Here is a 13928-nt window from a genome sequence, read left to right as displayed (position 1 = left end):
TTGCCTCAGCATACTGGTGCATTCTTACCGATTTTAGGAAAATGAATAATTTTTCTTTTTTCCACCCAGCTGCTGATAAAGATGATAGTTCAGAAGACATTTCAGTGCCGAGTAGTCCACATACAGAAGCTATACAGCATAGTTCGGTCAGCACATCCAATGGAGTCAGTTCAACCTCCAAGGCAGAAGCTGTAGCCACTTCAGTCCTCACCCAGATGGCGGACCAGAGTACAGAGCCTGCTCTTTCACAGATCGTTATGGCTCCTTCCTCCCAGTCACAGCCCTCAGGAAGTTGATTAAAAACCTGCAGTACAACAGTTTTAGATACTCATTAGTGACTTCAAAGGGAAATCAAGGAAAGACCAGTTTCCATTTATGCGAAATCTGTGGTTGTAAATTTTTTTTTTTTACTTGAAATTAAATTTGGCTCTAAAGTTGGTGTAGCAGCAGTTGATCAGACTGAAAAACGGTTTTTAGTCTCTGGAAAAAGACTGATTTTGCTTTTTTTATAAATATTATTAGATTTATTAATTTTTCTGTGCTCAATGTGTAAATTGTATTATAATTCATTGTGATTTATTTCACTTTTAATTTGCTGGTGTTTTAATAAATGGGGGTGTTACTGAATCTTTCTTCCCACTTCCATTTCTTTTGACCACCCCTTAACCCTCAACTGTGACGGTAGTAGTATTATCATTTATACCAAAGTTTTGCATAGTCCCTGTTGACTTTGTAATGTTAACGGAGTCATAAAAGCACTAGGCAAGAGAAAGATAGAAATTTGCTTTTAATCTTTTTGCCTTTTATTTTGCACATTATGCAAAAGGAAAAACATTAAAGAACACTTTTTTTTAAGTGAGTGAAAACATGGTAAAGACATACAGTGCTTTTATGCACATTGTTAAGCTAAATCAAGGTCATTTATAATCATTTTCCTTTTTTATTTAAGATTTTAAGTAAACAAATTTTAGAATTTTCAGCATTTCAAAAATGATTTTATTTTTCAAGTCTTAAATTCAATATTTTACACCTATGTTTTGAGGCTAAAAATATGAAATTATATAATGTATGATACAGGGTTATCAAATATCTAATAATTTTTGAAATTAGCTCTTGTTTTTGGTTTTTTTGTTGTTGTTTTTACAGATTTCAGGTTACAAACTGCAAAGTTTATGCATAATTAAGTATGGTATGGTTGCCAGAAAAGCCTAAAATTACTACTTAGAAAATTTAAGACTGTTTACCCCCATTGTCTTGTACTTGCGAGCTAACTTGTACTATTCTTGTGAAAGCACTGTCATCTTTTAGTAGCAAATTTTGATAATGTTTCTCGTGGAAAAAAAAATCAGTATCTATCTTTAGAACAATGTAATTATAATGTGGGAAGTGTGCATGAATGAGAGAGAGTGTGTGTGTATCTGTGTGTGTGTGCGCGTGTGTGTGTGTCTTTTAATAGTTTATGCCAGCAATCTTTGCTTGAATGTTTAACGATGCCTTCAGTGTGATGCTGGCCAATAGATGATTGCAGTTTAAAATGTCATTATTGTGCAGGCTTGGATAACTAACATTCCATGATGTAGCTTGTTTCTGATGAGATGATTGTAGGTACATTTTTCTCATTATCCAATCATCTGTGGGATACTTAGTTTTCTAATGTGCCATTATCTATTTTTATTCTGCAGTTATGTTCAAAATACAGTACATATTTTAAAATAGAATAAATTGTTAAACATAAAATTTTAAAAGTAGTAGATGTGCGTAAGAAAACTTTGTAAAATAGTTATGAGTCCTACCCAGTAGCAACTTCTGGCATTCAAGCAGGATTCCACTATGTAAATATCTGTAATGCATTTATAATAAGTTGTGTAGTTTGTCCTGCATCCATACTACACTATTTGCTAAAGTCTCAGTGCCATCTCCTAATGAGACTGACATTTTAAAAGTCTGTATGGAATATCCTTGATAATTCAAGGAAATATCCCTCCTGCCTAAGTTCCAAACTGGGAAACATTCAAATTATATAAATGACATTTCAGGACTTTAAGTATGAAGATAATGGGAATTTTATTGTTTTGCTTTTTAAAATGAGAGCATTTTTATTTGATAATTTTTTTTAAATTTTTAATTTTTAACTAATTTCATTATTTTAAAGTAATCAGTTTTTCAAATCATGATTTTGATATCATTATTCTAAGGAGTTATCTCAAAGGCACAAAATATGAATTCTGCAAGAAGGCTATTTTTTATTGTAGTTTGAATGGGTTAGGAAAAGCCTCAATTTTTCACTCTTAAGTCCTTCAGTACATTTTTCTTTCATCTTATTACTTATGCAAGTTAAGGTTCTTTGGTAACAGAATTCTTGCAACTGTAAAATAAAACTACATAGATGTAAGAAGTCATGTAAACGGTTAACAAGCTTACCAAGGTTAGCAAAACTTTCATTGTAAATCAGTCTGTACTGAGCAAATAAAAATCATTATTAGTTGTATAAACACAAATTCCATTTTGACTTTCAGGATGTCATACTACTTCTGTACCTAGCATTTTCAGTCCTTATATTTGCAATGTTACACAAACTGTACTATTTTCTTTTATGTGCAGTTTGCATGAGTAAACCATCAGAGAATAAATTCTATCTTTAAATTATGTTCATAATTTGCTTGTTCTCTTACCTTTCCTTCATAAAGTAACATCACCAGATAATGATTTTTTTTTTCCTTCAGGACATTTATTAACTGAGAAGAACCTGAGATTCTTTCTAGTTCTGTGATAAAATTCATTCATTCCTTTTAACTGCAGGGTACTTGGGCCTTATTCCTCTCTGCACTCACTTTGCATCCCATTTATATATAATGAATTATATAATTATATAATTCATATGTAATTCCCCACACCCCTGAACTTTAGTCACAGATCCACCTGCCTTTGGCATCCCTTGGTGATGGCCTGACAAAACATCTGAAACATAACATGTCCAACACTGAACTGCTAAACAGCTCACCCTACCCTCAAACATTTCTCCCACAAACTTTCACAAGTCAATTGATGACAATACAATTCTTCAAGTTGCTTAAGCTAGAACAACCTTGTTGTCACCCTTGATTTTCTTTCTCTCAGCCCACATCCAGTCCGTCAAGAAATACTATTTGCTTTCCCCTCAAAACAATCCAGAATTCAACCACATATCACCATTTATACCACTTTCATCCTAATCTGTGCCTTTATGATTCCTCATCCAGTTACTGTACTTGCTTCATAAATGTCTTTTCACTTTCACCCCTGCCCACCACAGCCCATCCTCAATACAGCAGCCAGAGCGATGCTTTTAAAACTTTTGTCAGGTTACAGCACTGCTCTGCCTAGAATCCTGGAGTGGCTCCCCTGTTTCACTCAGAACTTGAAGACGGCCCACAAAGCCCAGAGATGATTTATTCCATATCCCATCCCATTGTGTCTCTGACCTCATCTGCCACATTGTTTTGTCAGTGAACATTTGAGTGCTACTAGGTGCCAGAGGTTGCTCTAAGCACTTGAAGTAACACAATGGCCAAAAGCAAAAATCTCTGCCTTTGTGGAGGCCACGTTCTAAAGATGGTGGGAGGATGTTGGGAAATGCAATCAACAAGTCAGTTATGTGTTATATTAGAAGTGGTGCAAGCTAAGTGAAGAAGCAGACTTACACCAGTTTTGCTGGAGAGTGTGTAGAGTGACCGTTTTAGTCATATCTGTTAGATATGACCAATCTGAGGAGATGCATGGCTATTTTTTAACAAACATTCTACCAATGTGCTTAAGGTAGATTATGTGATATAGATAAAAAGTTTCATGAAGGCAAGCTGATGTATTTCTATAACAGGTTAACAAATGATCAAACAGGTTAACAAAAGGTCAAACTCATGTTAGTCTTGACTTCAGAGGACAGGAAAGATAATCTCGTCTATGGTGTGTGCTTACTATTAAATGTAGTTTTGCTAATTCTACATCTATGAGACTATAGGATATGATGGATGACCATATTTGAGATTATCATGAGAGAATCCTATTTATTCCAAGGCCCTCATCTTAGATAGACATGAACAAACACAGACACCCAAAATACCTAGAGAACACAGTTATCAAAGCAAATGAACTTTTCCTGTAATTGTCTCACATGGCTTAAAACAACAGCAAGTCTTTCCAGATTATCAGTAACTATATATTGAAATGTGGGTGTTCATAGAGTTAATAGTTTGGTATTAAGATCCTAGACAGCTAGCATCCTTCTGTGTGGAAAAAAAATCTCAAAGTTTAGAATATTTCTAAAGTCCTTTCTGAAGAAATAAATGGTTCTACCATTTAAATATAAATGATGAGTTGCAAGTTACATACATTGCCGTAGAATAGGTGCCATCAGTGAAAATGTTTCCAAAATTAAAAGACTTAATCTGAAATAGCAAAGGCCATGTGGCATTGGAACCTACAATGGAAGAAAAAGCATGCATAGTTTTCTATTGTAGTCCAAATCAAAGGTTAATTGTAAAAATATCAAATATGTCACAGCAATCAAACCAGAAGGGCTCTGTTAATGGGCAAGTGGCTTGCATCATTTTTCTTCAAATGTACATGCAAGTTCTTCTAGTGGCTTTCCAAGAAGAGAAGACACCTCATTTTCATTAGTGTTGCTAGTACACCCTTGTCATGGTCACAGTGCCTTCCCTTGTCTCTGTGTTGCATTAGATTTTACATGTGAGACATCATTTCTTGAGACATAAATTTTTGAACAAAACAATTGTATTGGTGTTATCAGGCTTTATCTCAGTTATTTGGGAAAATATTTCTTACTCTGAATCTCAAATTTTAACTATGGCAGTTATGTCAAGAATTGGCTTTAGTCATTTTGCAGTATATTTTGCTTTCTAGGAAAGTATTAATAGAAAAAAACAGAATATTCCCCCAAAACAGCTTCTTTTAAAGTTATTTTTCCTTAATAATTTTTAAAAGCATGTAAATTAAGAAGAGATGCTATTTTTCATAGGCTGACCCAAAAATTAGGCAAATTTTTATAAATTTTCCATTTTTTATGCATTTATAGTAGGCATATATATTTATGGGGCACATGAGATGTTTGATACAGGCATGCAATGCATAATCACATCATGTAAAAATGGGATGTTCGTCCCCTCAAGTATTTATCTTTTGTGTGTCAAATCAATTATTTCAGTTATTTTTAAATGTACAATTAAAGTATTGACTATCGTCCCCCTGTTGTATTATCAAATACTGGGTCTTCATTCGTTATATTTTTTTGTACCCGTTAACCATCCCCACTTCCTACTCACCCTCCCACTGCCCTTCCCAGCCTCTGGTAACCATTCTTCTGTTCTCTGCCCCATAAGTTAAATTGTTTTTATTTTTAGAACCCACAAAGTGAGGGGATGTGATATATATCTTTCTGTGCCTGGCTTATTTCACTTAGCATAATGACCCCCAGTTCCATCCATGTTGTTGGAAATAGCAAGATCTCATTCTTTTTTATGACTCCATTATGTAGTTACCACATTTTCTTTTTCCATTGATCTGTTGATGGACACATTGGTTGCTTCTAAATTTTGGCTATTGCAAACAGAACTGCAACAAACATGGGAATGCGGATAGCTCTTCAATATACTGACTTCCTTTCTTTTAGGTATACACCTAGCAGTGAGATTACTGGATCATATGGTAGCTTTATTTTTAGGTTTTTGAGGAACCTCCAAACTGTTCTCCACAGTGGCTATACTTTTACACTCCCACCAACATTGTATGAGGATTCCCTTTTCTCTATGTCCTTGCCAGCATTTGTTACTGCAGTCTTTTGGATAAAAGCCATTTTGCCTGGGGTGAGAGGATATCTGATTGTTTTGATTTGCATTTCTCTGTTGATAGTGATGTTGAACACCTTTTCATATATGCCTGTTTGCCATTTGTATGTCTTCTTTTGAGAAATGTCTATTCGAATCTTTGGCCCATTTTAAAATCAGATTTTTAGATTTTTTTCCTGTAGATCTAGTTGAGGTTTTTATATATTCTGGTTATAAATCTCTTTCAGACAGGTAGTTTGCAAATATTTTCTCCCATTCTGTGGGTTGTCTCTTCACTTTGTTGATTGTTTTTTTGTTTGCTTTTTGTTTTTTGGGTTTTTTGTTTTTGTTTTTTGCTGTGCAAGCTTTTTAAGTCAATGTGATTCCATTTGTCCATTTTTTCATTGGTTGCCTGTGCTTGTGGGATGTTACTCAATAAATTTTTGCCCAGACCAATGTCCTAGAGAATTTCCCCAATTTTTTTTGTAGTAGTTTCATAGTTAAGAGGTCTTAGATTTCAGTCTTTAATTCATTTTTATTTGATTTTTTTATATGATGAGAGAGGGGTGTAGTTTCATACTTCTGCATATGGATATCCATGTCTCCCAGCACCGTTTGTTGAAGAGACTGTCTTTTCTCCAGTGTGTTTTTGTCACCTTTGTTGCAAATGAGTTCACTATAGATGTCTGGATTTATTTCTGGGTTCACTATTATATTCCATTGGTCTATGTGCCTTTTTATGCCAGTACCATGCTATTTGGACTACTATAGCTCTATGGTATAATTTGAAGTCAGGTAATATGATTCCTCAAGTTTTGTTCTTTTTGCTTAGGAAAGCTTTGGCTATTTTGGGTCTTTTGTGCTTCCATGTACGTTTAAGGATTGTTTTTCTATTTCTGTGAAGAATGTGATTGGTATTTTGATAGGGATTGCGTTGAATCTGTAGATCACTTTGGGTAGTATGAACATTTTAACAATATTGGTTCTTCCAGTCTATGAATATAGAATATCTTTCCATTTGTTGGTGTCCTTTTCAATTTCTTGCATCAGCATGTGATAGTTTTCAATATCGCAATCTTTCACATCTTAAATTAATTCCTAGGTATTTATTTGTGGTTATTGTAAGTGGTATTACATTTTTTATTTCCTTTTCAGATTGTTCATCACTGCTGGCATATAGAAATGCTACTGATTCTTATATGTTGATGTTGTGTCCTGCAATTTTACTAAATTTATCAGTCCTAATAATTTTCTGGTGTAGTCTTTAGGTTTTATTAAATATAAGATCATAGCATCTGCAGACAAAGATAATTTGACTTCTGCCTTTCAAATTTGGATGCTCTTTATTTCTTGTCTGATTACTCTAGCTAGGACTTCCAGTCCTATGTTAAATAACAGTGTTGACAGTGGGCATCCTTGTCATGTTCCAGATCTCAGAGAAAAGGCTTTCAGCTTTCCCCCATTCTGTATGATACTGGCTGTGGGTCTTTCATATATGGCTTTTATTATGTTGAAGTATGTTCCTTCTATACCCAGTTGTTTGAGGGTTATTATCATGAAGGGATGTTGAATTTTATCAAATGCTTTTTCATCATCAATTGAAATGATCATATGGTTTTTATCCTTCATTCTGTCCATGTGATGCATCACATTGATTGATTTGCATATGTTAAACCATGCTTGCACCCCAGGAATAAATCCCACTTGGTCATGTTGAATGATCTTTTAATACATTACTGAATTTGGTTTGCTATTATTTTGTTGAGGATTTTTGCATCAATATTCATCAGACATATTGGCTGGTAGTTTTCTTTTTATGTTGTATGTGTGTCTAGTTTTGGTATCAGGGTAATACTGGCCTCATAGAATGAGTTTAGAAGTATTTCCTTCTCTATTTTTTGGAATAGTTTGAGTAGGATTGGTATTAGTTCTTCTTTGAACATTTGGTAGAATTCAACAGTGAAGCCATCAGGCCCTGGGCATTTCTTTACTGGGAGACTTTATTACAGCTTCAATCTTTTTACTTGTATATTGATATTTTTATTCAGGTTTAGGAAATTCTCTGTTATCCTGCTGAATAAACTTTCTACCCCTATCTCTGTCTCTACCTCCTCTATAAGGACAATAACTCTTAGATTTGCCCTATTGAGGCTGTTTTCTAGATCCTGTAGGCATTCCTCATTGGTTTTTTATCTTTCTTCTTTTTTCTCCTCTCTGTATTTTCAAATTAAGCTCACTAATTCTTTCTTCTGCTTGATCATTTCTGCTATTAAAAGACTCGTGTTCTTCAGTATGCCAATTGCATTTTTCAGCTCCAGCATTTCTGCTTGTTTCTGTTTAATCATTTTAATCTCTTTGTTAAATGTATCTGATAGAATTCTGAATTCCTTTTCTGTGTTATCTTGAATTTCTTTGCATTTCCTCAAGCATGGCTATTTTGAATTCTCTGAAAGGTCAGAGAATATCTTTGTTTCTCCAGGATTGCTCCCTATTGCCTTTTTTAGTTCATTTGGTGAGGTCATGTTTTCCTGGATGGCGTTGATGCATGTAGATGTTCTTCAGCGTCTGGGCATTTTAGAGTTAGGTATTTATTGTAGACACTCAGTCTGGGCTTGTTTGTCCTTTTTGGGAACACTTTCAAGATATTTGAAAGGACTCGAGTGTTGTGATCTAAGCTGTACCTGTTTTAGGGGGCACCCCAAGCCCAGTAATGCTGTGGTTCTTGCAGACTTGTAGAGGTACTGCCTTAATGCTCTTGGATGAGATCCAGAAGACCTCTCTGGATTACCAGGTGGAGACTGTTGTTTTCTTAATTTTTCCTACGTGAACGGAGTCATTCTCTCTGTTCTGAGCCATATGGAACTGGGGGTGGTGTGACACAAGCACTCCTGTGGCCACAAACACTAGGACTGCACTGGGTCAGATCTGAATCTAGCACAGCACCAGGTCTCACCCAACCTTTCTATAACCTCTCATTGGCTATGACCTATGTTTGCTCAAGGCCCTGGAGCTCTAAAATCAGCAGGTGGCAAAGCTATTCAGGCCTCTGTCCTTCTCTTCAGGGTAGCAAGTTAGTTCACCCAGGCCCTGGGCTTGTCCAGAGGTGCCATCCAGGAGCCAGGGACTGGAGTCAAAACTGTTAGAAGTCTACCTGCCAAGACTGGTGTTCTATTGTATTGTGGCTCAACTGGCACTCAAACCATAAGACACAGTCCTTCACACTCTTCCCTACCCATTCCAAAGGCAAAAGAGCCTCACCAAGTGGCCATTGCCACCACAGGCCCACAGGGAGTACCTCAAGACTGCCACCAATGTTCCCTTAAGGGCCAAGGGCTCTTAGGTGAGATTGTGATGAATGCTGCCTTCCCTGGGACTCACCCTTCAGGGCAGTGGGCTCCCCTCTGGCTGAGGCAGGTCCAGAAATGCCATCCAAGAGCCACGTCCTGGAATTGGGGACCCCAAGACCCTACTTGGTGCTCTACCCCACTATGGCTGAGCTGGTATCTAAGGTGGAAGACAAACCCCCCCTTTGCTTTTCCATCCACTTTCTCAAGTGGAAGGAATCTCACCCCATAACCCCATAGCCACCACAGCTGGGAATGTGCTGTACTTGCCTGAAGCCAGCAAGTTTCAAGAGGCTCACTGAAGGCCCTCAACATAGTACCTGAGTATCGCTGCTGGTTATTCAGGGCCCAAAGGCTCTTCAGTTAGTAGGATTCTGCCAGGACTGGGTCCTTCCTTTCATGGAAGCATGTTCCCTTCTGGTCCAGAGTATGTCTAGAAATGTATCTGGGGGCTAGGGCCTGGAAACGGGGCCTCATGATTCTGACCAATACCCTATCTAGCTGTAGCTGAGCTGGGATCCAAGACGCAAGGCAAAGTCTTACCCACTCTTCCCTCTCCTCTCCTTAAGTGGAGGAAATGGGGTTGTTTTGGAGCTTTGAGCAACCTGGGGTTAGGGAAGGGATGATGCCAGCACTCACACAGTCACCCTGGCTGTGTCTCAGTAGGTTGTGTTCCCTGCTGTTCATTGTCTCTGGGCCCAGTTCAGCACTAAGATTGGCCTAGGAGTTGCATTCCTTGTGGCCTAGACTGCCTTTCAAGTGTTATCTGGAGCCCCAGAGCACTTCACTCTGCGGTGGTGAGGCTTTTGGGAACTTAAGTTCAGGCCACTGGGATCGGCGATTCCTCTGGCTAGGGCTGCTTTCAATGCTCCCTTCGTGGGCGGGCATCAGCTGAGTTTGGGTCAGTTTTGTTTTCTAATTTTTGGTTTTTATGAAGGTGTTTTATTTTGTGTGTGTGTAGACAGTTGTTAAATTGGTGCCCTTGCTGTGGGGATAATCAGTGGAGATTTCTAGTCTGCCATCTTGCCCTGCCCCTACTCCCCAAATTTTTAATGTTATTTATTTAGCAGAATTTAAGATGGTAGCATTGTCTATTAGGAGTTTCTCATGAAGCAAATACATTATATGATGTTTATGAGGAAATGAGAAAATTTGTGAATGCCATTATCTTTTTTCTTTTGTGACAGAGTCTCACTCCTTTACCCAGGCTGGACATGATCTCAGCTCACTGCAACCTCCACCTCCCGGGTTCAAGCAATACTCCTGCCTTAGCCTCCTGAGTAGCTGGGATTACAGGCGTGCACCACCATACCTGGCTAATTTTTGTATTTTTAGTAGAGATGGGGTTTCACTATGTTGGCCAGGCTGGTCTCGAACTCCTGACCTCAAGTGATAAAATGCTGGGATTACAGGCTTGAACCACCACTCCCGGCCAATGCCATTATCTTAAACCAACTTTGCATTATCGTTAATACTGTATTACCTATTTTACTGAATGATTTTTTTCTACTAGTTTTTTATCTCTATGTAATTTAAACATGTGGCTAGTTCCTAGGTCCATTTTTAGGAGGTATGCTTATTAAAATTCATTTTCATAGTGTCTAATTAAATAACATCAATTTGAATAAAGTGAGTTAGATAATATAACTATTCTATTGTAATTAATTAGGACATTTAAAAAATAATTCAACAGATAAACATTGACTTCCTCCCATGGCTAAATTATTAGGGAAATACCTTCTACATTACATCTTAAATTATTCAGCTCAGGTGGTGGTTTCTGAGAGCACTTTCAACACCATGAGGTAATATGCTGAATCATAAACAACCACGTCAGCCGCCTACATTAACATACTGCAAACAAGACTCTTCAGATCTTTTTTATGGCATTTAAGTCCAATTCAAATAAAACTTCAATTCTTTATGGACTGGAGTATATCTGTGACAAAGAAACATCAGATAACATTTTAAAAAGAATGTATGCTACCATTGTTATTTTTATTACTATCTGTAGAAGCTTTTATACGTGCCCCAAAAGTAGCTATTTTTGAAAATGAGTTTGATCAATAATTTAAACACTTGCACAAAATATATTGGTATGCCTGTTATAAGTGCATAGGCATGTATAATTTAAAATCACTTACAATTTAAAAGTTTTAGCCTCTTTTTTAAGATTTTCCTCTTGCCAGGTGTGATGACTCACATATGTAATCCCAGCACTATGGTAGGCTAAGGTGGAAGGATGACTTGAGCCTAGGAGTTCAAGACTAGCCTGGGCAACATAGAACCTCTCTCTATAAAAAATAAAAAAAATAGCTGGGCATAGTGGCACATGCCTATTGTGCCAGCAACTCAGGAGGCTGAGATAGGAGGATTGCTTGACCCTGGGAGTTCAAGGCTACGGCAAGCTATGATCATACCACTGCACTCCAGTCTGGGTGACAGAGTGAGACCCTATGTAAGGTAATGGATGTGCTTAGGTCAAGGATAGGCTGAGGTAAACATCCTGTATGACTTAGCAGGATTGGAACGCAGGCGCACAATTCCATGTATAATGTAAACACAGCTATGTACATAACACGGGAAGGTCATCACTGGGCTTTACGCTACTATTGTCTGTAAAAGGTATAATTGCCCTGCTGACACTGTTCAGGCGCTCGTGCCCAGAGAAAGAGAGAGAAAGCCAGAGATGTCTGTCTTGCAGACTGGCAAGAGGGAGCCAGGACACAGCTCGGCTTGCTTACACCCAGAGGGAAAGAGTTAAGCTGGTGACCCTGAAGGCAGAGCGAGCAGGAGAGTGCAGCTGTGTGTGGGAGCGACAAGAACTGCAGAGTTAGAGCAAGCAACAGAGACAGACAGTGTAAGAGAGCTGCTGAATAAAGCTGTATTTCACCTACCTGTGGCTCCCCCCACTTCCTGCTGCTGAGTGTTCTCTCAGCTATCTCCCATTCATCCACCCACTCCCTTTGGACCTCAGCATGGGCTGGAACCTGGACTTGAACCTAACACCCTTTCTCTACAAAAAATTAAAATATAAAATTATAACCAAAACAGGTTAAAAAAAAGTTAGGTATAAAAAGGGGATTAATTCAGCACAGACTTAAAAGACAACTCTATAGGAATAATTTAATATTTGATAAAAAGATAATTTCTTAGAAAATGTCATTTATCCAAGATGACTCTGTAAAAGTTAGAAAACCAAATAGATCTGTAAACAATCAAGAAATGTAATTGGTGATTAAATATCAAAAAACAAAATGAGAGAGACAAGCATCTACTTCTAGAGGCTTTATAGGGAAGTTATTACAAAATCACTTAAAAATAATATATAACTTTACAGAGGATGGGCAGAAAAAAATCTCACCAACTCATTTTATGAGCTTAACACCTAAATCAGACTGAAACATTAACACCCAAACCAGACTATGACAGTTTGGTTATTTTTATTGTTCAGTGGTATTCCACTGTATGGTTATATCACAATATGTATATCCATTCACCCTTGATGAGTATTTAGATGGTAACTAGGTTTTTGATGGCAATGAATAAAGCTGCTATGAGCATTTGAGTAAAAGTTATTGCATGACCATGTTTTTCTGTCTTTTGGGTAAATACCTAGGATTGGGAATCTTAGATCCTATGGCAAGTGTATATTCATAAGAAACTGCCAAACTGTTTTCCAAAGTGTGTGTACCATTTTACATGCCCACCAGCAGTGTGTGAAAATTCTAGTTGTTAAAATTTGACTAAGGATTTTTGCATACATCAGCTCATGAGGGTTATTGCTATGTAGTTTTCTTATAAGGTAGGGGTATCAGGGTAATTCTGGCTTCATAAAATCAGTCAGGAAGTGTTTCCTCCTCTTTGGTTTTTGAGAAAGTTTATGAAGATTTTGCATTATTTCTTCCTTAAATGAGATTCAGGAAGTATTTCTTCCTTAAATGAGATCTCAGAAAATTGTTCTGTGTACTTCTTTCTCCAGCCTTGGGTAGAGTGCTATAGTGTCTCTAATTTACTTTCTAATTGACTTACATTCACAAATCAGTACTCAGCCAAAGAGTCAAGGAGTCTCTCCTGCAGATCTCTGGAGATCCCTCATCTCTAGTGCTAATATACATCACTTTCTGTTTTAGTTTTCTATTTCTGCTGTAGCAAATCACCACAATTTAGTGGATTAAAACAACACAAATTTATTATCTTACAGCCCTGGGGGTCAGATCCAAAATGGGCCTCACTGGACTAAAAGCAAGGTGGCAGCAAGTCTGTGTTCCTTCTGGAGGCTCTGGGGAAGAATCCATTTCCTTGGTTTCTCCAGTTTCTAGAGGCTGCCCACTCCCTTTGCTCATGGTCCCATTTCTCCTTCTTCAAAGCCAGCAGTGTAGCATCTTCAAATCTCCCTGCCCCTCTGCCTCTCTCTTCCATGTATAAAGACAGTGGTGGCTACATTGGCTCACATGGATAATCCAGGATACTCTTCCCTGTCCAGTAGCAAATTTAGGACAGCTGATAAGCAGACTTCATTCTACTTTCAACCTTATTTTTCACGTTGCCAGATAATATCATATTTACAGATTTGGGGGATTCGTATATGAACATCTTTGAGGGCCATTATTCTATCTACTTTACTTCCCCATGCTCTGCTGTGTTTCCCTAGCTCAGGAAACATGGCTCTGTGTTTCCCGGCCCAGTTGCTGCACCCTGGAAACACTGACCTTGAGGCTCGCTTTATGTTTCCCTTCTGTCAGGAGCCACAGCCCAGCAGTGC

At 37.6% G+C, this 13928-nt stretch overlaps 1 protein-coding gene across 12 annotated transcripts in view, besides 2 other annotated features; it reads left to right on the top strand.

Annotated features, from left to right (window-relative positions):
• ATF2 (activating transcription factor 2) overlaps positions 1-2646 on the top strand; it is a 95945-nt gene extending 93299 nt beyond the window's left edge. For 10 of the 12 annotated variants that reach the window (NR_045773.2, NR_045774.2, NR_045771.2 and 7 more), the window contains one exon: positions 70-2646. Coding sequence is in view for 5 of the 12 variants with exons in the window: in NM_001256092.2 (NP_001243021.1) it covers positions 70-296 (227 nt within the window). In the remaining 7 variants the exon portion in view is untranslated. Of the gene's footprint in view, positions 1-37 lie in introns of all 12 variants that reach the window. The other 2 variants (NR_045769.2, NM_001256093.2) reach the window with 1 other exon arrangement.
• Positions 3558-3758: a silencer, noted in NCBI's record as "peak3938 fragment used in MPRA reporter construct". NCBI's record gives its function as "represses an SCP1 promoter by STARR-seq MPRAs in K562 erythroleukemia cells {active_cell/tissue: K562}" and the evidence as "EXISTENCE:reporter gene assay evidence [ECO:0000049][PMID:32103011]".
• Positions 9216-9448: a silencer, noted in NCBI's record as "fragment chr2:175930185-175930417 (GRCh37/hg19 assembly coordinates)". NCBI's record gives its function as "represses an EF-1alpha promoter that drives an FKBP-Casp9 reporter gene in an ReSE screen in HepG2 liver carcinoma cells {active_cell/tissue: HepG2}" and the evidence as "EXISTENCE:reporter gene assay evidence [ECO:0000049][PMID:32094911]".

The sequence above is a fragment of the Homo sapiens genome, chromosome 2, assembly GCF_000001405.40.
Source record: "Homo sapiens chromosome 2, GRCh38.p14 Primary Assembly".
In the NCBI taxonomy this organism is placed as follows: domain Eukaryota; kingdom Metazoa; phylum Chordata; class Mammalia; order Primates; family Hominidae; genus Homo; species Homo sapiens.
This window is presented reverse-complemented; position numbering and strand designations above follow the sequence as displayed.